Here is a 26,944-nt window from a genome sequence, read left to right as displayed (position 1 = left end):
CTTCACATCACAAGATCTCATCATATGAACCCTATTTGGCTCTAACCACTCTCATCATTTTAGAACTCTACACAGGACTGGCTTATATTGCTGTTAAATTATAGTTACTGGAAAATTTATTTTTTTCTTATGAGTGCATTGCAGTATTTGCATTACCTCTCCTTTTAAATAGCAAAACCTTTCTTTGTTTTTAACAGTCCACAGCATTGAGTACAGACCTACCGCATGTGTGTCTCTCACACAAATTGTTTTCGTTTTTATCCCACATATAAGATGTTTTTCCACAGAAGCCACTCAAAGCAGAAGGAAAAAGAAACATACTAGGAGGAAGAAACTTGGTTTTGCTAGGGAACTGAACCTGATGTCTTCAAACTGCTCATGATGTGACAGGATGAAGAGAAAGAAAAAGTTAAAAAAATCTACCGAATAAATATCAAAATCTCATCGAGTGGATTTTCTTAACATTGTCTAAAGTAAGCTTGAGGGCATTCTTGTTTAAAGTGGAATTCTGCATAAGGTCATGCTTAATCCCACCCTGAAAATGAGAATAACTGAATACAACCTAAATTCTTCCAGAGGATGTTCAACTCTGTAACCGGATGAATAAAAATGAGGAAATGTGCAGAAATTGCTATTTCAACCTAGAACTTTACTCTCTGACTTATTATTATTCATGTTTAGGGATGAAAACCTTAAGGACAGAAATTCAGTGTTATTTGTTCCTTTAATACAGTATTATATCTAAAAAGAATTTCTTACTTTTCTAAGACACGTAACTTTAAATGTTTTGATTTCCCCAAATAGAGAAGCATGATACCAAAGTGGTGCTTTTTAGAATATTTAAAATAAACAAAAATGTTATTCTTTATGTATAAATATACAAGTTAAGAAAATCATGAGGACAGAAAATAAGCTGCAAATCACAACACCATAAATATATAATTAGCTTTTGTTACCACATTTTTTCCTTCAAGGGAGCAGCAGATGGAATATTAAAAGCCTGTGTCTCTTTTTAAACCAGAAGTCTGCAAACTATCGTCTGCTGCCATCTACTTCCGTAACACAGTTTCATGGGAACACAGCCGCCACTCGTTCATGTACTGACTGCTTTTGTGCTATAAAACAAAGGATTTGAGAAGTTTCCACCTCATGGCTCTTGAAAAGCCTAAAATATTTACTATCTGGCCCTTTAAGAAAAAGTTTACCAACCCGTTTTTCTTTTCTCAATGAAAAATCTCATTGAGACAATTGTAAACTCGCATGAAGTTTCAAGAAGTAATCCAAAGAGATTGTGTATACTTTTACCTAGTTTCTCCCAATGGTAACATCTTGTAAAATACCAGGATAATCACATTGATAAAATCCATTGATTCTATTCAGATTTCTCCAGTTTTACTTGTATTCCTGGTGTGTGTGTGTGTATTTCTTCTGTACGATTTTACCACATGTTTATGCCAACCAGTTCTCAACAAAATCTTCAGTGCTTCCTCAGTAATAAGGGGCTTTTCTTAATCCTTTGTTTAGAAGGCAAAAATCGGTTATAAAGCCAAAAATTTATAAAGTTGATATTAGCTTCAAGTTTAGCAAAAGTTGGGGAGATAACCTAGGTAAAGACAGCCAGATGTAAGGCTTATCTGTGTCACCGAGGTGACAGGAAACATATGGCTATATGTCTGGGAGTAGAATAAAATACCATTCTGCAAGCAGAACAAACCATCCGCAATTGCATTGTAAAAAAATTTTTTTGAAATAGCTCATTGAGAAGCTTACGTTCTTACTACCAAATCTTGCAGGGAGGGAGAGTTTGAGACAATAGTAGGGTAGGAGAAGAGAAAAAGGATCAAAAATATAACCAGTTTTAGGTGTATTAGAAGGTGATTTGCCATTTAAAATGAAAGCTCTGTCACTTGAAATGACTGTCAGAAAGGCCAAAATAATACATTTTAATGTGTTTTAGTTAAAATACATAATACATAAAACCTATAAATGGCTCAATGAAATGCTCTTACATTTTAAATAAGTATATAGTGGCTCAGGAGAATTCATTTGCTTCATTTCTAAAGCAAGAAACTAATAAAGGAAAAGTTTCATAAATACAATTTAGTAGAGATGGCAATAAATAAATGCATGAAGTAATGCATACCAAATGACAGCAATCCATAAGTAAGCCCTTCCTATGAGTATCCTTTCTGGAATAAAGAGGAGAATAAATTAGTGAATAAATAAATAATAAATAATAAAGCCATGGTAAATTGCAGTTCTGATAAGAGTAGAAATCCACACGCTACGGTATTCAATTTGACATGACAAGTCATTTTAAAAGATTGAAAAGAGGCATATGAAAGAATACAAATAACATAACCAAACGAAATTTCCAAGTTTGTTGTAATAAAAAATTATGAGAGTTGGGATAAATTATGAGAAAGCATTTTGAGTCATGAATGGAGAAGGCAGTATATTTAAAAACTAAGTCTTTTTTGAATTAAAGTACTTTCCTGTGTTTGAAATGAAATACAAAATACTTTTAGCTAAATGCCTTTAAGAAGAATTAATTTTAGTTTTTCATATTTTATTGTAACCTATTTTTATTCCTGAACAACAAAATATACATTTTCTGCTCTAAAAAGTAGTAAATAATGACAAGTGTGAAAAAAATTTCTGCTTAAGCACAGTCATTTCAGTGATGTGTGAAATATGAATCTCAATATTTTTCCTTATTAATAAATAAAACATAACATTTGGGAATAACTGGAAGAGAACTATAGTTCTCCTTTCTTTTTAATATGAAATCGCACAATTCAATTCTGATATAAAGCTTCAGTATTCCCTTTTCTCTGTCTCTCTAGTACCCACCTTCAAATCCTTCAGAAACTGTTCAGAAATTTTAACCGACATGTTGCTCTAAAGTAATAAATATTTGTGGCATTCGTTCAATCTGGGAAACTAGGCTAAAATACAAATATACTGAATTTTCAACATTTCCTTGTAATAATACCCCTGCTTCTTTTATGAACAGTTGTTTCTGATGGTGTCACACAAAATTTCATCACTATAATAGTGTGATGCTCTCTGAAAAATATGATGTGAGGGATTTGATTCCTGTGTCAAAAAGCTTACTTTAATGTTTGTTCTGAGGAATATACTTGAAAACTTATAAAAACACCCTATGGAGATTTATTCCAAATTAATATTTTTAATTGATTTGATACATTTATGTTGTCAATATAAAAATATATATTTGGTTCATAAGCGTATATACACACAAACTTTGGCTCTATTCCAGAAAGCGTTATTATTCGGTAAGTCCTACTCAAATCCTGACAATGCTGAGATACAAAACCTAAGTGACGCCTCTGGAGTCTGGCTGACTCAATTTTAAATCCCCGAGTCTCACTTTTCTAATGTAGAAAATGTGGATTAACAGCTATGAATACTACCTCTGGAGGTTTAAGGAGAATGCAAATCATTGAAATAATATCTGGCACAATCCGTATTGATGGTAGATGATCAATAAACAAGAGTTTTAAAAATTACTATTTGATCTAAGCTAAAGCAGCAAAGCCAAGCCCTAGAACCTAGATGAACTATATGAAGCTCTCTTTATTTCCTCTCCTACTCCCCAACTGCCACTGCCAGCCTGAGTCTGTGACCTTAACAGGTATCATTAATCTTTATGGCACTTCTGACCCCCACAAGATCCTAAAAATTACTGAAATCCCTGAATCAGGCAGGTATCACAATGAATATGAGTTGGTACGTGAATTCAAGCCTTTTTATCAAATCTGTGAGCAACTATTTCTACTCTCTTTTAAAACCACTACAGGAAGTTTCTTTAACCTGATTGCCTTCAATTTTGTTTTTTTCTACTTAGCTCTAAATAGAAGTGACTGATATATCAGTTTGCTAGAATTTGGGAAGAGTCACTGGAAAGAGGTACACCCATCTGTGAATGAGTAGGTTTCTCAACACTGACTATGGCATTAAGATCAACTCCGCTGTGGAATTCTTCAAGGCTACTGCATTTCTTAATGTACTATTAATTAAATGTAGACTTGTGCCTGAGTTTACCATGACGGTACTGAAGTAAGTGACTCAGTAAACTAAAATATTATACTGCTGTGGCTGGCATTTAAGTATGTTCCTCCAGACTGATGGCTACTTAAGTGTGGATGAAAAGACCAATATGATAGATAAGTAACTGTCTTTACAAAAATGTTCTCATTTTAAGACTAATCTCTGATTTGTGGCTGTTTAAAAAGAATATGCTGTTGTGTGCAATTCTGCTACTCAAGAATCAGTACAAAGTCTCTGTTTTAAAAACAGTAATATTGGCCGGGCGCAGTGGCTCACGCCTGTAATCCCAGCACTTTGGGAGGCAGAGGTGGGCAGATCACCTGAGGTCAGGAGTTCCAGACCAGCCTGGCCAACACGGTGAAACCCCGTTTTTACTAAAAATACAAAAATGAGCCGGGCGTGGTGGCAGGCGCCTGTAGTCCCAGCTACTCGGGAGGCTGAGGCAGGAGAATTGCTTGAACCCAGGAGGCAGAGGTTGCAGTGAGCCAGGATCGCGCCACTGCACTCCAGCCTGGGTGACAGAGCGAGACTCTGTCTCAAAACAACAACAACAACAATAAACAGTTTTATCATTCCTAATTGCTGTGTGCCACAGTGGTCTTTGGTTTTTGTTTCACAACAATTTATAATTATGTCACGTTGTTTGAAACTTTCAGTCTTCTATGTTAATTATATACACTTGGAAAAATCTACATTCTTAAAGTGCTCATACCAATGGTTTCTTATATAATTATTTTTCTGTGGAAATTTACATTTTCTGAAACATAGATCATAATACCAAAATGTATTATCAGGAAAATCTAATCCAATTAACTAGAATTCTAAGTTAACTGAAATATTTTATATCTTTCACATTTTAAAAGGGAAGAAAATACAAAGAAAACAAGGTATAATTTGTGCGTGTGTGTTGTGGGGGCAGGGTGTGCATGTGTGGGGCAGGGTCTTGCTTTCTCACCCAGGTGGGAATAGAGTGGTGCCATCTTGGCTCACTGAAACCTCTGCTTCCTGGGCTCAAGCCATCCTCCCACCTCAGCCTCCTGAGGAGCTGGGACTACAGGCACATGTCACCATGCCCAGCTAATTTTTGTTTTTTTTGAAAAGACAGGGTTTTGCCATGTTGCCCAGGCTGGTCTCAAACTCCTGGGCTCAAGTGATCTGTCTGCCTTGGCCTCCCAAAGTGCTGGGATTACAGGCGGGAGCCATCGTGCCTGGCCTAAGGTATAGTTTTAAAAAAAGTTTTACAACATGAACAGGGCATGTCCTCATGATAATACAGCCTCATCTTCATAGCCTGGGCCTTTACACGTCTAAGACAGTAAGCACAATAGTTATTTGTTGTGTTTGCCATAGGACTGCACTTTACCCATATTTGTTTGCAGCTGTTTGATTTTAATGACACAGATTCTGTAATCTAGCATTTAGTTAAAAATCATCCCCCGAATATGAATCTTGCCATTTCTGATTACTGTGTGCCAGGTTAGTCTGTCAGTTCTTAGAGCAAACTCTAATTACAGCACACAGCCTTCTCACAGTGTGACCCAGGATAAACACACGCATCGACCTACAGAACCCAAACCATAGTTTGCTCATTGGCTCTTTCTAAGTTTGTTTGTTTTGTTTTTTTTTTTGACACAGAGTCTCGCACTGTCACCCAGGCTGGATTGCAGTGGTGCGATCTCCACTCACTGCAAGCTCCGCCTCCCAGGTTAACGTTCTCCTGCCTCAGCCTCCCAAGTAGCTGGACTACAGGCGCCTGCCATGACGCCTGGCTAATTTTTTGTATTTTTAGTAGAGATGAGCCAGGATGGTCTTGATCTCCTGACCTCGTGATCCGCCTGCCTTGGCCTCCCAAAGTGTTGGGATTACAGGCGTGAGCCACCACGCCCGGCCGGCCCTTTCCAAGTTTTAAAGGCATTTACTACCGCCACTGGTGTGGGTTTGAATCCTAGTTCTTCCACTTTCTAGCTGACTGATTTTCCACAGAGCTAAATATTCTCTCTGGGTCATAATTTCTTACATCTTTGCAGGCATGAACATGATTTAATATGTGACTTGTGCCTGGGAGTCAATATGTGGTATTCTTTCTTCCTATTCCCCTTGCAAATCTACTTCGTTTTTTTCCTGTATTTTCTCTAATGTGATATATGGCTTCCCCTCCCAATCAATATTATCCAAGTTAGAAAACTTGGAGCAATCTTTGATTTGTCCTGCTCCATCACCCTTTCCCCATCAAATGTAATCACTAACCTCCATCAGTCAATTCAGTCCTTAGAAATATCTCTTGAATTTTACTGTTCCTCGATCCCTGCTGCCATTGTCTGAGTCCAGGCATTCATCATCTTTTGCCTCGATTACGGCAATAGCTTATCTCTATGCCTCAAGGCTAGAACTGTCCAAAAGAAATATGTTCTTGAGCCATATACATAATTTAAAATTTTCTAGTAGCCAAACTAAAATCAAAAGAAGCAGGTGGAGTTAATTTTAGTGATACATTTTATTTACCCTAATATATCCTACCTGCACATTCTCTACCTAGTAAAATTCACCTTATTCTTCAAGGCACAGTTCAAACCTCACCTTTTCCGAGGCTTCCAGAAAGACATGAATGCCCTAGACTCCAATTGTCTGGCTTCCTAACTAGCAGTTATCAAATTTACTCACCCGTAAACCACAAAATCATGTTGCCTGGTTCCACTGTGGCATAGTCATCACTGGCTGCCTTGCCTGGGTCTTCACTTCTGCCCATTAATACTTTAGTTTTCTCTTGTTGACGTCCTGTCACATTTCGTAAAGTAGCTGGTCTCAGCTTTTTCTACTCTTCCAGTCTAATCACTCATGTATCAAGCTCAAGACATAATTTGGTACCCTACTTTCCTTTCTTTCTTTTTTTTTTTTTCTTTTTTTGAGACACAGTCTTGCTCTGTTGCCCAGGCTGGAGTGCAGTGGCGCAATATTGGCTTGCTGCAACCTCCGCCTCCCAGGTTCAAGCCATTCTCCTGCCTCAGCCTCCCGAGTAGCTGGGATTACAGGCACATGTCACCACGCCCGGCTTATTTTTGTATTTTTAGTAGAGACAGGGTTTACCACGTTGGCCAGGCTGGTGTCGAACTCCTCACCTCAAGTGATCTGCCTGCCTCGGCTTCCCAAAGTGCTGGGATTACAGGCGTGAGCCACTGCGCCTGGCCTGTACCCTACTTTTCTAAGAAGACTTGAGCCACTGCATTTAAGGTATCACATTTTCCTTCTTGTTTATCTCAGAATTTCCCAACATAGGCCCATAGATTTTGATTACATGTTTTAACTGAGGTGTAATTAACATACAGTACAGTACACCGATCTCAAGAGTTCAGTTTGACAAATTTGACAACTGTGTGTGCCTGGCTAACGGCCATCCAAAACAAGATAGCACACACTGTCTTCACCCAGAAAGTTCTCTTCTACCCATTTCCAGACAATTCCCTTCCTCCTCCCCACTACTCCAGGCAACCACTCTCTGACATCTGTCACCATATAAATGTTTTCTGTGTGTTCTTGGATTTTATGTATTCAAGTAACTGGAATCATACAGTATGTACTCGTTTGTGCCTGGCCACTTTTGCTTAACCTAGTGTTTTTGAGGTGCATTCATTTTTCTATGTATAGCCGTGCTTTGTTCTTTTTTATTGTTTAATATTATTCCATTGAATGAATATATCACAATCCCTTCTCCTACTGATGGACATCAGAGTTGTTTCCTGTTTTAGGTAATTCTGAATAAGGGTGCTATAAACAGTTTTTCACCTGTGTTTTTACATATTTTGATAAATATTGAAGAGTACAATTACTGGCTCACAAGTAAGTGTTTAACTTTATAGACAACTGCCAAACAATTATCCAAAGAGTTTGTACCATACCAAATCCTTATCAGCAAAGTATGAAAGCTCCAATTACTCTACATCCTGCCTGATATTTTAGGTTGTTAGTCTCTGTGATTTTAGCCATTCTAACGGGGTAAACTTACTCATACCTTCTTGACCTTCTAAAGCCACTTCCCGTTAATTCAAAAGAAAAGGCAGCCTTGCCCCTTCTCATTCTGTTTCTCCAACCTTCTTTCAGATACCTCTTTACTAATTATTCCCTCTCTTCTGCAGGTTTTGGTGTTCATCTTCCCTGGATCCTTGCCTTCCAACTCACTGTGTTGAGCTCAAAATGTGTTGAGGGTTCAGTGCAGATCCAAGGTGACTAGTTGCAGAATGCTGTAATAAGCCAGGTGATAGACAATACTGGCTTACATGACTGTGGTAAAGGTGAAACGCAGTACAGCTTGAAGGTAGGTTGGAGGTAGAACTGGCAGGATTTGCTGATGAATTAGGTGCACATGATTCCCATAACTTCATCTATAGTCCTATTATTCTCTTTCCAAAGCTCTATCGCTTACTTCTAAAATTCAAAAGGACAATACTGAACTCATATCTTCCCCTTAACACCAACTTTCCAACTTTACCAGTTTTGATTCAATTCATTCTATGAAGAAATACTTTTGAAGCACTTACTATGCATGTGCCAGGCACTGTTCTAGGCATGAGTTACCTCTATGAACAAAACAGAGCCTATTTCTGTTTTTTTTTTTTTTTTTGGATTACATTCTATTGGGGGGAGACAATTAATAATATAATTACAAAGTAAATTATATGGTAACTTGATACACAGTAACTGTTTTATATAAAAAAAAAATAGAGTAGGGTGGGAAGTCTCCTGATTGTGTGTAGCAGGGATGAGCTGCAATTTTAAGCAGGAACATTGAGCAAAGACTGAATGGAAGAGATGAGAGAGTTAAGCAGGAAGAAGTCTGCCCGAAGAGTATTCCTGATAAGGGACAGTACAAAGGCCTAGTTAAGACCATGCCAGATATATTCCAGAAACAGGAGGAAGTAGGAGAGGAGGTTCAGAGGTAACAGGAGCCAGGTCATGTAGAATCTGGAAGGCCATTTTAAAGACTACCTTTCACTCTGAGAGATGGGGAGCTACTGCAAAGTTCTGAGGACCCAGTGACACACTGAAACACTTTTAAAGATTTGCTCTGGCCTATGTTGAGAACAGACGTGGTGGGCATGGGACGGGAGGGAAGGTGTCAAGGGTGACAGCAGAAAGACCCGACAGGAAGCCTCTGCAGAAATCCAGGTGAGAGACAATGGTGACTAAGGCTAGTGTGCTGGCAATAAAGAGGACAGGAAATTGTTGAATTCTGAACATACTTTGACAATAGAGACAATGGACTAAAAATCTTCTATGTTATCCCATCACAAAAAAGGTAAACAAATCTTAAAAAGCAAACTCCCTTTTGCGCTCTACGACCTACGTTTTGATTTCCAGGGCATAGATTATGTCTCTTTTATTTACCTCTCTATTTAGAAGTTTTTCTTTTTTTCCATTTCCCATTTCACATATCCTTTGCAGTATGTAGTTAACACATGCTTCATTACTTTAATTATCTTTAGGAGAAAAAGCTTCATTATAGTAAAGAATATGGCCTCCTTTATATACCAATAAATTTGTATATATGTCACTATACATACCAATAAATTTCATCTTGAAAATAGTGAAATACTATAGAAAAGAACAGTGGCCTGGCAAACACACCTGTGCGTCTGCTATGAAGAGATTTCAAAGAAATTCTGACATCTACTACTTGTGAAAACAGCTTTAGATTAAAAACTTGTTAATTGTGGAGGCATGAGGGCATATTCCAAACAGGTGTGCATCTTTGTAAATGCATAATGACATTCCATTGGTGGCCTCAATATAAAGACAGAACACCCATCCTGCCACATACAAGAGCTCATGGATAGCTGCTGTTGGCCAAGTTGACACAGTGCGTGAAAGGCTGGAAGAGAGAAACAATAAACACAACACTGGCATAATTCAGTATTGTGATCTATTTGGAAGCAGTCAAAATTTGATTTTCATATTCAATCATTCTTACGGTGTTTCCTGTGGAGGGCCAAAGTTGCAGGCATTAGTTTAGTTTTGTTTAGTCCCTAGGCTGTGGGTTATGCCAGGTTAAGACTTTATTCCATGTTTACAAAAACAATCATGAAGCCAATGGTAATAAGGAGACCCTTAAAATAAATTAAAGCCTTTGATACAGATGTACAACTCATGGCAAATGTCTCCTCGGCAATGGTACCAAATCGCGTCACAAACAAGAGGAAATAAGTTCATTTTTCTGAATTTGCTTTTCACTGATGCCAAATGCCATATGGACATTAAGACACCTTTGACTCAGCAATATTGGTGACAAAAGCAAACCTGTATGAAGGCCAAGGGAAAGAAGCCGTGCAATGTCTTAGCACCCGTCCAAGTAGCACATAATTGGTAGCAGAGGTTCTTCCCAGAGGCCTGATGGAATCAGAGAAAGACACCCTGTCTGACCTTTTATAGAACATTTTAGAAGCAAAACAATCAAATAAGGAATGCTTTCAATAACAATGGTGACAAAGTAAATCAGTCCCCTTTGATCAGAGTGGTGGATCTAGGTAACTGAATCCTCAGCAAGCTATTGAAATATGCAATAATTAAGGGGCCCTTCTAGTTTACTTCAACAGCTGGTCTTAGGTTGAAAAAGAAGACAGAATTCAATCCTACATGCTAATGATTATTTAACAGATGTGGAAATCTCACTGTTCTCTCTCCTTCTTAAACAATGTCAAGAAAAATTTTCTTGAAAGCATAATGCTGTAGATGTCTAATCCTGCTACATATAGCAAGCAAGAAATGTGTTTTCTGTGTATTTCACTTAATAAAGAGAAATCTGGATACTTAAAAGGGTACTATAAAAATTTATAGTACTGTGATTTAAGATAGAAAGTTTGAAAACATACTGGTAAATGATCATTGGTATGAGGGATGCTAATTTCAATAATTAAGGTCATTCCTGGAGGTACTTGGCTTTATACTTTTAAAAATTCTATGGTTGAATAATCAACATAGTGGCAACACTACACTATATCCTTCGGGAGGACTTGAGATAGCTGCTTCTGAACCATAATTATAAGAAACTTGACAATAAAAAATTCTTGCTTATTTGTAGTAAATGGGTGTAGATATGACTAAAATTCACATATAATTTAATTGTATCTTCAATCTTTATAGCCAACACACCTATTATCAGAGAAGAATGAACTGATTTATTACCTTCTCAGTTCTTCGGTTCTATTATCTTGAGTGTTAAACTAAGTCTAGGAGGCAGGATAAATAAGCAAAAATGGGTGGTAACCAAGACTATGATTCACCAGGAATAGCTCTGATAATTCAACCCTGTTCCATTAAGACGTGTACTTTATAAACTGTGCAACATAGTGTCTTTACTAACTATATGACTGAACATATTAATAAAGCTGTATTGCCTCATTCTGGTGATGGCCAAATAATGTATGGATACTAATGAAAAACAGAACTTTTCACACACTGGGTAAAAACCAAATGGGAACTGTTTCAACAACAGGAGATAAGTAAGACGGCACATATTCATTTAAGATATTTATACTGTCATGTTGTAATGAGCTGTTCAGAAACAACAGACATAAAAGCTAAGAGGGGGAATAAACTTGTATATTTAAAAATTACACTGCCATAGAAATATTTGACATTTCTGTGAAGCTAAAAGAAGAGAGAAACAGATGTTAGATCATTGCAGGAGTTACTGCAGATCAACTACCAGATGGAGGACACGTATTGATGCCTTTCTTTACAGATTATAAAACTGGAACCAAAGCAATGCTGTAACAATAGGGCACTTTAGCCATTCATTAACTCAGGAAACAAATATGCCTTCAATATTTACCGTGTGTCAAGAACTGTGGTGGTCTCAGGGATATTGGACCAAAAAAAAAAAAAACAAAACAAAAACAAAAACAAAAAAACAAACGAAAACACCAAGAAAGGAATTGGGAATGTTCGGTGTGGTGAAGAGAATAATTGAGGTGAAAAGACTTATAGTCTCATATTTGTTGAAAGGTTGTCACTGCCCAGGCATGGTGGTGACAGCCTGTAATCCCAGCACTTTGGGAGGCCAAGGCGGGAGGACTGTTTGAGCCCAGGAGTTCAAGACCAGCGTGGGCAACATAGTGAGACCTCGTCTCTATTTTTTATACAATTTCTTTTTTTTTTTTTTAAAGAAAGGTTTTCACATAAAAGAAAGATTGGATTCATTTTGTGTGGAAGTTAAAGAGAAGCATTCAGTAGAGCCAAAAGAAGGAACTTTCTGATACTTTAAGCTAAAAATAGAACAAGCTGCCTCAGAAAGCAGTGAATCCCTATCCAATGGTTCAAAAAGGCAGGAAAATCTTATGCCAGGGATCCTCTTGAAAAGATTCCTGAGCCAGGCGAGAGGCTGCATTTGAGGCTCTTTCCAACCTAAGGTCTTTATGATGACGTGATCCAAGCAATGTTTTAGTAAAATCAAGTGAGGTGAAGAACATACTGGGGCAGGAATGATTGGCAGGAGCGAAGGATCTGGTGGTAGTTGAAACATGAACCATGAAGACCTGCATGGAAGAGATACCTTTAGGAAGAAAAGAATGGACACAAACTATTTCAAAAGAATAATCAATAAAAACTATAACTTTGAAAATGGTTTCTAATCAATAAGGGTTTAGAGAAATGTTAGGCATTATTAGGATATTTGTAACAGCTTTTTTCCTAGTGTATTCCTTACTCACTGAAAGCACTCATTATATGTTTGCCTCTCATTTTATCTTACTTGTTCCAGATCAAAAGATACTTTTAATGTGTAGGAATGACTTCATTTATTCATCTGTTAAAATACAAGTTAATAGTAACTGCCCCTGCTACATCATAGTATTGTTATAAGGATCAATTGATATGAAGCTTATAAAAATGATTAACTTTTTATTTAAAGGGATAATTATTTAATAATATAGAATTATATCAAGTAAAAGTGAAAGTGAATTATATCAAGTGAATTATATCAAGTAAAAGTGAAAGTTTCCCCTTCCCCTCTCTAAGCCTAAATTCTTTTTTTTTGAGATGGAGTCTTGCTCTGTCACCCAGGCTGGAGTGCCGTGGCATGATCTCAGCTCACTGCAACCTCCACCTTCCAGGTTTCTAGCGATTCTCCTGCCTCCTCAGCATCCCAAGTAGCTGGGATTACAGGCATACACCATCATACCTGGCTAATTTTTGTATTTTTGTAGAGACGGCATTTTGTCTCTACATATGCACGACATGTTGGCCAGGCTGGTCTTGAACTCCTGACCTCAGGTGATCCACCCGCCTCAACCTCCCTAAGTGTTGGGATTACGGGTGTGAGCCACCATGCCCAGCTCTAAGCCTAACTTTCAAGATAACCCAGTGTACCAGAGTAACATTTTGAAATATTCATCAAGGTTTCCTACCATCACCACCACTGTATCTTCTCCTGTACCTTTCTCCATATTCTGTGAGTACATGGTGCCTTAGGAAAAAAAAAGTTGTTAAAGCAGAAGTAAAGAATAAATAAAGTATTGATCTTTAAATTTCAAAAGTTTGGACTTATGCTAGAAACAATGAGGCTGGCAAAGAATTTCTGAGTACTCAGAGTTCACTTTTCCAGCACCTGGCCCCTTGACCCCCACAGTACCTGACTGTGATTGCATGACTGGAGCAGAAGAGAATTAGGCACGGTGTTGTTGTGTTGAGAAGTTGCGCTCCATGTTGCACCCCCCACAAAGTTGGATATAATAACAGAAACAAAAGATGAATCAGGGTATGGCAAGATCTTGCCCCTTTTCCAGGAGGGTAAAGTAGCATAGGATAGGAGTAAAGGTGGCTGTGCAGGGTGTTCAGTCAGATGAAACTGAGACAGCCTCAAAGTGGCAGCCTGCTCCAACCCCAACCCCCACTATGCCCAGGGTGTCACGGTAGGGCAGCCATACATTTTCTTGAGTGAAAAATGGCACGGAAATGACTAAGAGAAGAACAGAGTTCAGAAAGGGTCTTGTGATGAGTGTGGACACATGAGGCAACAGCGGCTGGAACAACAGAACTATTTCTCACAGTTGTGGAGGATAGAAGTCCTAAAAAATAATTGTGGGTAGGACTTCAACATATAAATTTGAGAGGACACAATTCAGCATATGGCACTCACCATCCCGTGACACTTTCATAATCTCATTCCTAGGATGGGATAAGTTAATAAGAAACTCTGATTTGACTGTGTCTACTTAATGAGTTTCTACCACTGGTTGGAATAGTGGCTCAAAATTAAAACTTAGTTCACTTAAAAGAATAGATGTTTATGTTTCTTATACAGCCTAAGGTTGCCTAGACAATCTTACTCTCACATACATTTTGTGAAAATGCAATCTATCTTTATATTAAGTTTGACAAATTGCTTTATCTACTCCACAATAGAACATAGGTATTTTTTTCAAGTTAGGGTGTGTATCTATCTATCTATCTATCTATCTATCTATCTATCTATCTATCTATCTGTCTATCTATCTATCTGGATATACACAGTATTGTTTATATACATATATGCACAATATGTCTTATATAGGTTGGTGCAAAAGTAATTGCAGTTTTGCTATTATTTTTAATGGCAAAAACAGCAATTACTTTTTCACCAACATAATATATACTTGTGAAGGTTCATTCTTTTATAACAACTGAATAGTATTATGACACAGCATGAATTCCCTTTTGATGGGCATTTAGGTTGTTTTTAATATCCATGTAATACTTAAATAATCCCTTACATAACTATTCTATAGAATTCTACAGGATCCATTCAGAGAAATGAAAAACTGAAATTGTTTATCCATATAAACAATTCTGGCAGGTACTGACAAAAAGTCTTCCCATTAAAATTTTTGTATGTTTTCATCATAAAATATTACACTTTCAGTGCAAACATTTAGAAAAAACAAAACTACAGAAATCTAAAAAACACTGGGAAAAGAGAAAAACTAAAACTATCCATAATCCATTACCCAGGGAAAATTTGGTTTGTTTCTTTCCTTTTTTTTTTAATATACAAATATCATCAAAATCAAGATTGTACTGCATAGTTCTGCTTTGCTATCTTCCTTGTATCACTAACATGAGCATTTTCCTATGCTATTCTATATTCGGAGGGATTTTAAAAATTGTAAAGAGCTATTATCAGTTAATTTTTAAAATCATTTTTATTTACATATTTATATATTTATAATTTTAAATTTTGAATTCATAAATACAATTTTTAATAAATTTACAGAGCTCTACAAACATCATCCAATCCAATTTTATAAATTCCCATCAATGTTTTGAGTCTTAGTTTGTCTTTTTTTCAATTATTAATTATAATTATTAAATCCTCTTTGGTTTTTAAATTTGCCTACCACTTTTCTTCCCATTTGTAGACAGTAACAGCAAAGGCCAGAATTTAAGACCCGTTGGAAATGTTCCTCAAATTAAACCGTGCATTCTTCACGCAGGACCAGTTCTCTGGCCATGAACGGAGAGGAATGGATGTACTCTATCCTACACTACTTCTAAAATACGTACATATGTCAACACTCAGACCTTACACCAAATAGAGACTATCTCTAAAACATTTGTCTTCTCTGAGGAGTTGTATCTTTGCCCTTTTACTTCTCCACTGTTCATTATATTGTTATTTAGTATTTTCTTTTCCCCTTCTCTTTCATTCAAGCAGGATCTGTTCATTTATGATGTCCTACTGCCTTGTTTCCCTGTGGCACCATCAGAACTGCTGCTATAGACGTGGTGCTATCCCATGGGAACTGGAGAAGCAGCATGAAACAGATGTGATACTTGTCGGTTTTATTCCTGCTGCTCCTGAGAAGGAAGTCCTTTGTTCAAGAACAGAGCAGGCATGACCACCCACTGAGGGCATTAACTGGTAGGAAAGAAAAAGGGAAACTGTGCCTTTGCCTCTCTTGAAAACTTCTCTTCCCTAGCAGAGTGACTGCATTAGCTTCACTGTTGCTTCTGCTGGCATTACTGGGAAATCACTGTTTGTAGGAGAAGCAGTAGAGGGGGCACTGAGCTCGAGGGAATAACGAAAGTTTTGAAATATTGAATGGCTGAATCACCTTGGGAATGGAATCTACTCTCGAGTTAATGTTAAAGAGGAAATTTGAGAAAAAATTGTAAAACACACATTATTATTCCAATTGGCCTTCATACTTCAGTTTTTTAGTTTCCTTGTCTTTTAATAAATAAAAGTGTATTTATGTGGGGGTGTGTGTTTGCATTAAACTACTTTTGCAGTTTCAATTCAAGTAACGTATTCCTGTGTACTGCAATGCTGCCAGGATTCAGGGTGTGTGTGTGTGATTGTGATGTACTGTTGTGGGGATAGTTACTCTTTTTTTAAAAAAAAAAAAAAACCTTTTTTTAATTTTTAATTTTTATAGGTACATAATAGGTCTATATATTTGTGGGGTACATGAGAAGATATTTTGATACAGGGATACAATGTGTAATAAATCACATCAGGGTAAATGGGTTATCCATCATCTGAAGCATTTATTCTTTGTGTTATAAACAATCCAATTATATTCAATTATTTTAAAATGTACAATTAAATTATTATTGACTACAGTCACTCTGTTATGCAATCAAATACTAGATCTTATTCATTCTATTTATTTGTACCCATTAACCATGGGGCTAGTTACTCTCTATAGAATGTAGAAGGATTCTTAATTATCCATTTCTCAAATTAAATTTCAATAAAAGCAAGAGGTGTAAAGAAACTGTGAATGAAATAAAGCTTAAAATGACCGTGGAATGAAAAAATGTTATAAAAAGAATACAACAAACGCTGGGCATTAAAAAAATCAATAGAAAATCTCAAAGTTTATTACAGGGTGCTTGCATAAGGTAAGCATTTTTCTTCTCAATTCAGCTCTCATGTTGCCATTTTCTGGTTTTGCCATTAGAAAGTAATCCTAGAAAGGCAGGTAAATATGTTCAGGAGAACAAAAGTTTGAATTCTAAATAGAACAAAGAATCTTTTGATTAGTGGTTACTATTTCATTGTAATTAAACAAAAGTAGTATGATCTGAGTAAGGACCAAAGAATAAGGAACTCCTCATTTCTATGGAAACAACGAAAATTACTCCTTTCAGCAGTGTTAGGGCAATCTTTGCATTATACCACTTTTGACAAATTTAATTCAAATAATTCTCTCCTGAGCATTGTACTGTTCTCAGGATTAATTAATATCTACAACATAAACTGCTTTTAAAATGTCAGTTAACGTAAGCGCTATAAAATATTTTGGTTGGATGGACACAACAGGGATTGATTTTCAAAAAAAAAAAAAAAAAAAAAAAATCCCGAGGAATAAAGAGAAAAGAAAGAAAGAAGAAAACAGAAAATGCAAAGAATAATGTGAAAGAATAATTTAACTGGGTTGGGAACTCAGTGGTCACAGCTGACACCCTGGAAAATTATGATGCCAATGGAATTGCATTAAATTCCAAGCCTCACTGATTATACCTTAAATAACCATAAGGGTGGATCAGCATGGGCATTTGGATTATTCTTTTACATCATAATTTTGGATAGGATACTTTTCTCTGTGAAACTATCAATTTTACCCTCTTTGGAATTATAACATCTCCAATAAGGAAACATTAGGCTTTAAAGCTTCTCTGGAAGAAGCATAAAAACTGATTTATATCTAATGACAAATCAGGACAAGGGATCTGAGAGCTGATGCTACAGAAATATAGAATTATTGTTTACATTAGGAGAAATACTTTAATGCATGCCATTTTGTGCTATAATAAGATTAAAATTGTTATCTTTTTTGTTTTGTTGCATTGATGAGATTAATACCAATTGTCTTCACTGAAGAATGACTACAGAGGCCTTTTTATGCATTTATATCCCCAATCTACTTCCTCTTACTCCACTGATACACAGTATCTTTTAAGAAACAACATCTTTCAGCTTTGCCATTTTTATCCCCTTCATCTAGAGTAGCCTGTTGGCAAATCAGCGGCATGTCAGAAACGGGTGAGGAACATGAAGATATACAAGTGTGAATTTCATGAGGCCTGATGCTCCTACCATGCCATGTATTTTTGGCCACTAAAACACTACAAATTCTTAGCTTCAACACCCCATGTTGTGCATCTCATCCCAGTAGCAATTACAGCTAGAGTCCAGCTGTAAAAACCTGATGGAGATGCTGTGCACATTCAAAGAACCAAAAGCACAATTCATTAGGAGTGCATCACTTGTTTTCCAAGCGTTTTCGCTACAGGCACGCACTGGCAGGGCAGGGCTATTCCCATTCTTTCCTCTTGTGCACTCCATCGAGGGCAAACCACTGCAAAGTAACCCAGAAACTCACGATTACCTCAGATGCCATTTAAACCCTTCCTTCATGCATTCAAGGGAAGGAAATCGGATCGTAGCCGTAGATGAAAGCAGAAGGTATCGGGCAAGTTCTCTCTCTTTCTAATACTCCAAAGAAACGGAATCAATCAGATCAAGCGGGAAGTAAACTAGGACTGCAACTGAGTAACGGGCAGGTTAGACATTTTGATAGTTCTATATATTTACTCAGAAGGAAATCACTGTAAACATGTATGAATGGTAGAGAGACATCTAGGTAAAAGTGTTTCTGAGGCACATAAAGGGTACCTGAGGGACAGAACCACACCAGAAGTGATTCTGAATCTCAGCTGGGCTGGTGACAGTGCAGCAGCTGGAGGCTGGGGGAGAGAGCACAGATGAGAATCTGTGGGATGCAGAAAGGGAGACTGTGTGGTCTGAACTTCAACTCCAAAATGTTGTACCCTGTGGCTTCTATTTAAGCATCACTGGCTAGAGACTATATGTAGATTCAATCAACAGAGCAAGGGCCAAATTCATCAATAAAAAAGACCATTAGCACATGGATTGATAGGATCTTGCTTAGGGTTCCGTAGAAATGAGGGCTCATCTGTTAGCTCAAATAAGGCCCCTGTCCTTTTTTAAAATGAAACAAGTATTTGAAAATGTTAAGAGCTGAGCCCTGGTTTATTTGAACAAAATGTGAAAAATAAGCACAATTGTAGAAATTCAAGTACATCACAGTTTACTTACAGACAATTACGATTCTAATGAAGCTCAGAGTACTTAGTTCACACACACGAGTGATCTGAGTTGGACAGGAACAATAAATAGGGTCCCAGTTAACAAATGCACTAACCATTAATATCCTTTTGAAAGCCGCAGTTTGCTCTGACCCTATGAACAGGATTGGTTTATAAACAGGTAATAATTAGATACAATGTTGAATAGAAAAAGTCATTTAATTTTGATTTTACATGAGATTTTATAATTTTGTTTTAAAGTTCTCCGAAAAAAGCTCCACAAAAAAACAAATACAGAACCTAGGACAATCTTGTAGAAGAAGAAAATGTCTGGTAACCATATTTAGCAACTGGTTTTCAGTACACATTAGATGTATGATTTTAAAAACTGGCTGCAGGAATGAATGAACTCTTGATTAGATGAATACTGCCTCTAGGGTAACCTAATGCACATCCCTCTTGCCTTCCCTTGCCTGTCTTCTAGGGAATCCACAATGTGTATGCACATTTTACCTAGTTCAGCCTGAGTCAGGCTATTGAGATGTTTTTGTATGCTTTTCTCTGCCTATTCTTTATATAGTAACATGGGGTTGATATGCCAGCACTTCAGTCTACGTAGGAGTGGGTCATCGTCATTTCAGTGTTTGCTTTATAATGCAACGTGGGTGCCCTCTTAAGATTTCCCAAATGAATTCAACAAAGTGCTGGCTACAGGGGAGTGGGAAGGGGAAGACACTTGTAAATTGGTCACTTTAAGCTTCACTATGTAAGTAAAACTTATAAGAGATAAGCTACCATTCTCTAAATATAAAGTTTTAAATAATTCTTTAGAAAAGAAAAATTTTATTTTTTAAATAGGACAATTCCTCTTTATGAATTCTCATGACCAAATGATTTCACTAATTACTTTGTTGTATTCAATTTTGGGATAGTTCGCATAGTTGAGTTTGTAATGCAATAAACTATGCCTGAATGGTCTGTTTACTCCACTGCAAGTTACAAGCAAAATGCTTTCTCCTGAAAGGACTTGTCTCTGAAATGCACAAAGTGGCAAAAAGCCAAGGGAAGCTAGCTGGTGCTTAAGCAACCAAGAATGAGCAGTGCCTGTGTGCATTGCAATCTCAGCCAACCGAAGTAAATGTTATTGGAGTTTTTGTGCTGTAAAATTGCTGCTTTCATGCCCACTGCATCTGACAACAGGAATCCTTGGTCTACTAGGAAGGTGGGAGGTTGTTGTGCCTTCTAGCCAGATTCCTACATTCCTAAGAAAAGGGCTGGGAAGTGGGGTAAAACTTCTATTGTTCCTAATGGGCTAGGGACAATGAGACTCAAGTTGGTGGCATATTTGGTCAGAGAAAGAGACTAAACAACAAAAAAAGTACTAATATTACTTCCTGCATTAAGCATTAGGACCTGGGAAGTTATTCTTTTAGAGAAACTCTTCAGTGTTTGTAGAATAAAAAAAGTAATTCCAGAGGCCTCAGGACCTGGGAAGTTATTCTTTTAGAGAAACTCTTAAGTGTTCGTAGAAAAAAAAAAAGTAATTCCAGAGAGTAGTGGATTAATGACTTAAGTTTTTAATTTTCAGGAAATTTAAAAAAGCATATTTTACAAATCATAAAATCAAGATCAATAAATACATTATTGCATTTTGAAGGGCAACAATTTAAAACCCATATAAATGCATTTAAGTTAATATGTGCACTTGGTTTTCTTGATGTACTGAGTCTTTCTTGACATGGTATTTATTTGTAAGGCTGTTTAGTTAATAGCACATTCATTCAGTGCTCACTTACTGAGCACCTACTTGAACCAGGCCAAAATTTCATCACCAATGCTGTAGTTTTAAATGTACTTTAGGTCCCAAATCAATGTTTAAGCCCCAAACCATACAAATAATCTTTTTGTTTAAATATATTGAAAAAAAATTTTAAAGCATCCACTGCTACTTCTAGGCAACTATTTTTTTTCACAATTATACTAACATAATGTCTACCATATAAGCATAATATTTTAAGTAAGACTTACATAGTATTACAGTTCATGGAGGAGCAAGATTCAAACTATATTTCTTGATTTTAAAAAACCCAAACCTCTATGATAGTTGTCACTGGTGGCAACACACAGTTAAATTTATGCCTGATATTAAAAAAAAATGTACTGAACAATACAGAATGATTTGGACTCGCTTGCCTCCTTCAGTCATAGACTAATTCTATTAGAATGGTTTTTATGTTAATTATGTCCTTACTTTCCTAAATATACATTTTCAGCATGCACTCACATGGCCATTAATGCGAGCTAAGTAAGGAACCACGTTCACTGATTTCTTTTTTTGGAAGACAAGGAATATTACTACATCGTATGCTTGAGGCATGACAAATAAAGAGACCACAATAGTTCCGCCTCCCTACCTCCTCTTTTCCTTAACCTTTCAAGCTGCTCACTACTCTGGCTTTAGAGAAACGTACATCATGTGAAAGGAAAAAAAAAAAAAGCTTAAAAGGAAACGGACAGAAGTAGAAATAGAAAATTAAAGCTGCGAAAAGACAAATTAGACACTGACCCCTCTCTTCCAAGTACTCTTGATTCTGGTGACATGGGCTTTGTTTCAGAATTCTTTTGATTATTTTTTTTCTCTATGACTTTTAAGTAAATGAGCATTTGAACTGCCACTTAATAAACCTAAAATCTTGGGCAAATTATTTAACCTCTCCATGCTACATATTTTTCATCTGTAAAACAAGGTTAATGATAAGAAAGCCTCAAGACTATGAACATTAAATTAAATATCACACACACACACATACGTGCACACACACACACAAATTGCCTGGCACACAGGCTTGCTCAAAGTAGGCACCCAATAAAAGTTAGTTTCATTTCCCTCTTTTCCTGATGCATTTACATTACTATCATGTAGAAAACTGTAATTCTTGGTAAAATATGAATTACAAGGATAATGTAGTTCAACTAATTGTTCAATCACACTATAAAACTTGATTTTCGCAAGTCAGTGGTCAGATGGGATGAGGTCAGTTAATTATCACTCGGCAAAAGTTGGAATATTTAAACTGGGCAAGCATGCATTTTTCCTCTATTAGAAGAACAGTACAAATAGAGCTTTGGCATTGCAACTGAGAAATAAAAACACGAAAGAAAAGATTAATCAGATGAAGGATGAAGAAGAGATAAAACTCAGCTGGTCATCAGAAAGCCTTTGTTATATTTAAAATGTTTCTAAGCATGAGGAGAAGCAATTATTATCCCTTTTTAGCTAAGGAATAAATTTTTGTCAGGTTCTATGTACGTACTTACACTTGCGTCTGAGATTGGCCACAAGTAATACAGCACAGAAGGTTTTCATGAAGAAAAAAACTGAGATACCTTCCTAAGTATATTACTGAATACTAGATTTCAGTGGCTGTAGAGTAAGGGAAGAGACATAAAATTGTTCATTTGGCAGAGAGAAAAGATTGAGTTAAGGGGTCTTGTGCTTTGAGAAAATTTGGCACCTGAAGTGAAAGGGCTTAAAAATCAGAGGCTTTGAAAAGTTAAATCACAACGCAGATGGACTCTAACTCTCCATTTTCTTTGAAGGTTTAGATAGTAACCCGAGTTATCAAGCTGTTGTGGTCTGAAAAAGTGCTGTAAACGCTAACGGCAAGAATGCCTTTCAAATCTAAATGAGAGGAGGCATTAACTCTTAGTAGACATCGTCCCTAGCAATATGCAACCGAGCAAAGGAATAGGAAACTCTTTAAAAATAAACTTTCATTATGCTCTTAAGTTTATCTCTAGTAAATGAGTTTCAATTTTCTTTTTTTTTTTAAATTTTATTATTATTATACTTTAAGTTCTAGGGTACATGTGCACAACGTGCAGATTTGTTACATATGTATACATGTGCCATGTTGGTGTGCTGCACCCATTAACTCGTCATGTAGCATTAGGTATATCTCCTAATGCTATCCCTCCCCCTCCCCCCACCCCACGACAGGCTCCAGTGTGTGATGTCCCCCTTCCTGTGTCCATGTGTTCTCATTGTTCAATTCCCACCTATGAGTGAGAACATTTCAATTTTCTAAACGATTTATGAAGACTATAGAAGCACTGCTGGGCGTGGTGGCTCTTGCCTGTAGTCCCAGCTACTCTGCAGGCTGAGGCAAGAGGAAGCCTTCAGCCCAGATGCTCGAGGCTGCAGTGTGCACGATCACACCTGTGAATAGCCCTTGCACCACGGCCTGGGCAACACAGTGAGACCCTGTCTAAAAAAGTAGAACAAAAAAACTATTTAAAGATTACAAAAGCAAATTACGATATATTTACGAGAGGGCTGCCCTTGCTGTGACCATTTGCTTTTTACTGATTCAGTATCATGCATGTCCCGGAACCAAGTGTTGGCTCGCTCCCTAGTCAAGCTCTATAATTTTCTGAAAGATGATACAAAAACTTGAACACTCTTTTTCTGTTAATCCCTAAATTCAGTCACAGTTTAACTTGGGAAAACAAAAAATACTTTATGTAACTTAAAAATACCCTTTAAAAATGTCAGGACTACATTCATTAAGAGGACTCATATTAAAATAACTCCTGTGTTCTTAGACTCTCAAGTCTAACCTTACTATCTCATTCTATAATTTAATCCACTTCTTCCTTTCCCATCTTTGGCCAATGCTAGAACTAGATGGTCATCATCCATTACATCTTCAAAAATGATTAATGTATCTCCCTTTAGCTTTCTCTCCTTTCTGTTAAATAATTCAATTCTTCTTGAGTTCTTTTCATGAGTCTCATTTTCTAATCCTTTAATTAGCTTGGTAGCTCTCAGAACACTCTTCAAGTTTCAGAATGGTACAGCAAAACTGAATTCAGATAAAGGTTCAACTAATGCAAAATAAAATAGTTTAAGTATCACAGAGTAAGACTGAAATATCCTGGAGGGTAGGAAACAAAGTCTTGTACATCTTTGCAGCATCTGAAACATAAGGAGATGTTCAGTAAATGAAGAATTAATGGGTTGACAATCATTGGAACTCCAAATTCACCCACTACTAGAAAGCAAATCAAGAGTTAACTTTTTTTCTTTTGTAGAGATGGTGGCGGGGAGGGCATCTACTACGTTGCCCAGGCTAGTCTTGAACTCCTGGCCACAAGTGCCTCAGCCTCCCAAAGTGCTGGGATTACAAGAATGAGGCACCATGCCCAGCAAGTTATTATTTTTAAGTCATGGAACAAGAAAGGAGAAAAAAGCTAACTCTAGAAAAGTTGCTGCCAGGCCCCAAGCTGATGAACAGTCTTGTCACTCCCAAATGTTACATATCATTTAACTTTTTTTTTTTTTTTTTGAGACAGGGTCTTGCTCTGTCACCCCGGCTGGAGTGCAGTGGTGTCATGATGCAATCACAGCTCACTGCAGCCTCAACCTCCCAGGCTCAAGCAATCCTCCTGCCTCAGCCTCCTGAGTAGCTAGGACTTACAGGCATGCACTACCACGCCTGGCTAGTTATTTTTTGTAGGGATGGGGGTCTCACTATGCTGCCAAGGGTGGTCTCAAACTCCTGGCCTCAAGCGATCTTCCCAGCCTGGCCTCCTGAAGTGCAGGGATTACAGGTGTGAGCTACTGTGCATGGCCCATTTAACTTTAAATACAGTAAAAGATGCAACTTTAGAATACCACTACACAATTATCAAATTCCACTGGTCTGCATAATGAACAGGGGGTCATATTAAGTCAGATGAAATAGTAATGATGGCTTGGTTGCCTCTTATGAAATTATATTTATAATTTTAATTTTATTCCTATATTATTATCTCTCTCTTTTGTACAATTTATAATAGATTCATTGCACTTTATTCAGTCCTTTTCTAATCATCACAGTTTGAAAAGTTATTTCTTCATGCAAATTCACGTAATTGACCATGTATTTATTTCTTCACATAGTTTACATAGTTATCCTACCACCGCTGCTGTTATATTTCTTTGAAAACTGTTTATTAACATGGACTAACATTAGGTATGGACCTAAAAATCAAAGTCAGAAAATTTTAGCTGAGAGCTCTGGGAAAAAGGGACAATTTCATCATCTTCGTGTTATTATGGACAAATGAAGGGACAATTATACATATAAGGTTTTTTTTTTTTTTTTTTTTTAGATGGAGTCTCACTCTGTCGCCCAGGCTGGAGTCAGTGGAGTGATCTCAGCTCACTGCAACCTCCACCTCCCGGGTTCAAGCGATCCTCCTGCCTCAGTCTCCTGAGTAGCTAGGATTACAGGCAGGCACCACCATGCCCAGCTAATTTTTGTATTTTTTAGTAGAGACAGTGTTTCACTGTGTTGACCAGGCTGGTCTCAAACTCCTGACCTTAAGTGATCCACCCATCTTGGCCTCCCAAAGTGCTGGGATTACAGGCGTGAGCCACTGCTCCCAGCCAAGGATTTTTTTTGTGACAGAAACTAAATCATCTCCCAACTGGTTTACTCCCTAAAGCACTGCTTAGCCCCTTTGGTAGAAGTTGAAAATAACATCTTTCCTTCCCAATCCCAACGCCTCAGGATATGTTTTCATTCAACAAACATTTAGTAACTGCTCTGTGTTAAGCACTATATTAAGTATTGAGGTTAAAAAAAAATAGACATCTTCTATTTTAACCTCATATAGTTCACTTTAAGGGAGCACAGATTTACAGTGATAGAAGATCCTCCACAAATCCCTGGTGTTAGAAGCATTAATAACTTGTCTCTAGTGATGAACACCCAGAAAACCCAAAAAGAAATATTTTAAGCAAGCTTCAGAGGCTAAGAATTAAAGTCAGAATAAGGTTTCACAGAACAAAATTAAGAATGAGTCCACCAGATGTTGAAATTAACATCTGCAAAGGATGCTACCACCTGAGAGAAAGGTCACAGATTTATTAGAGCAGTTGAGAAAAACAACAGGAGTGACTTCAGGATCTGTGACCCTAGTGTTAAGTCTTAGTAAACAGAGAGATATACAGTGAACCAATATATGTAATTATTCTGTGGATTACATCTCAACAAATAGGTCTGTAAGAATAGCTACTTTTCATTTATTTTGTGAATCAAAGTATATTCTAATTCTTAAATTCTGTATTTAAATTTGTAAATCAACGTACATACATACATACATATGACTACAAGAGCTATTTTAGGAATTGCTATTTTCTGTTCTCAAACCCATGTTAACATTTTATGCTGACTTTTTTTAAACGTAAACTTTCCACATAATTTTATGGTCATCTTGGTTAATGTTTAAAATGTAACTCCATAAAATAACAGACACTGGTTTTGAGCGGAATTTTTATTAGACCTTCAATTATTTTCATACACAAGTAAGACTCCAATACATAATTGTAATGCCAAAGCATTTCCATTTTGATTTCCCATTACGTATGAAAAAACCAATTGCAATTTCTAAATGAACCCAACATTTCTTATTTTCTTGCCTAGATATAGTTCTCTATAGTCAGACTAAATTAAAAAGGGAAAAAAGTCAATTTATAATGCGACTGCAAAACTTCTTCCACAACCCTTATTCTATCTGTCCTTAATGCCCTAATGTTTTTAGCCCTACTTGACAGATTACAAGTATCCTATGTTTCTTTGTATTATTAGAAAGGCCAATTCTTCTAAAGAAGAATGCATGATATTTTGAAAGAAAATACTTCTGAAAGGATCTCAAAGGTGGAGAAAATTAAGCAAAGAAAACACTTCAAAAGCAGGCTCCTCAGTGAAAAGTGCTGGGCCCTGGAAGCGTGACTCGA

At 36.9% G+C, this 26,944-nt stretch overlaps 1 protein-coding gene across 31 annotated transcripts in view, besides 2 other annotated features; it reads right to left on the bottom strand.

Annotated features, from left to right (window-relative positions):
* TENM3 (teneurin transmembrane protein 3) overlaps positions 1-26,944 on the bottom strand; it is a 1,355,412-nt gene that overhangs the window by 226,493 nt on the left and 1,101,975 nt on the right. The window lies entirely within an intron of this gene.
* Positions 4,487-4,988: an enhancer, noted in NCBI's record as "H3K4me1 hESC enhancer chr4:183492697-183493198 (GRCh37/hg19 assembly coordinates)". NCBI's record gives its function as "activates a minimal SCP1, AML or CMV promoter by ChIP-STARR-seq in naive H9 embryonic stem cells {active_cell/tissue: H9 hESC(naive)}" and the evidence as "EXISTENCE:reporter gene assay evidence [ECO:0000049][PMID:30033119]".
* Positions 15,436-16,289: an enhancer, noted in NCBI's record as "OCT4-NANOG hESC enhancer chr4:183481396-183482249 (GRCh37/hg19 assembly coordinates)". NCBI's record gives its function as "activates a minimal SCP1, AML or CMV promoter by ChIP-STARR-seq in naive and primed H9 embryonic stem cells {active_cell/tissue: H9 hESC(naive and primed)}" and the evidence as "EXISTENCE:reporter gene assay evidence [ECO:0000049][PMID:30033119]".

Source organism: Homo sapiens, chromosome 4 (genome assembly GCF_000001405.40).
Source record: "Homo sapiens chromosome 4, GRCh38.p14 Primary Assembly".
NCBI lineage: Eukaryota > Metazoa > Chordata > Mammalia > Primates > Hominidae > Homo > Homo sapiens.
This window is presented reverse-complemented; position numbering and strand designations above follow the sequence as displayed.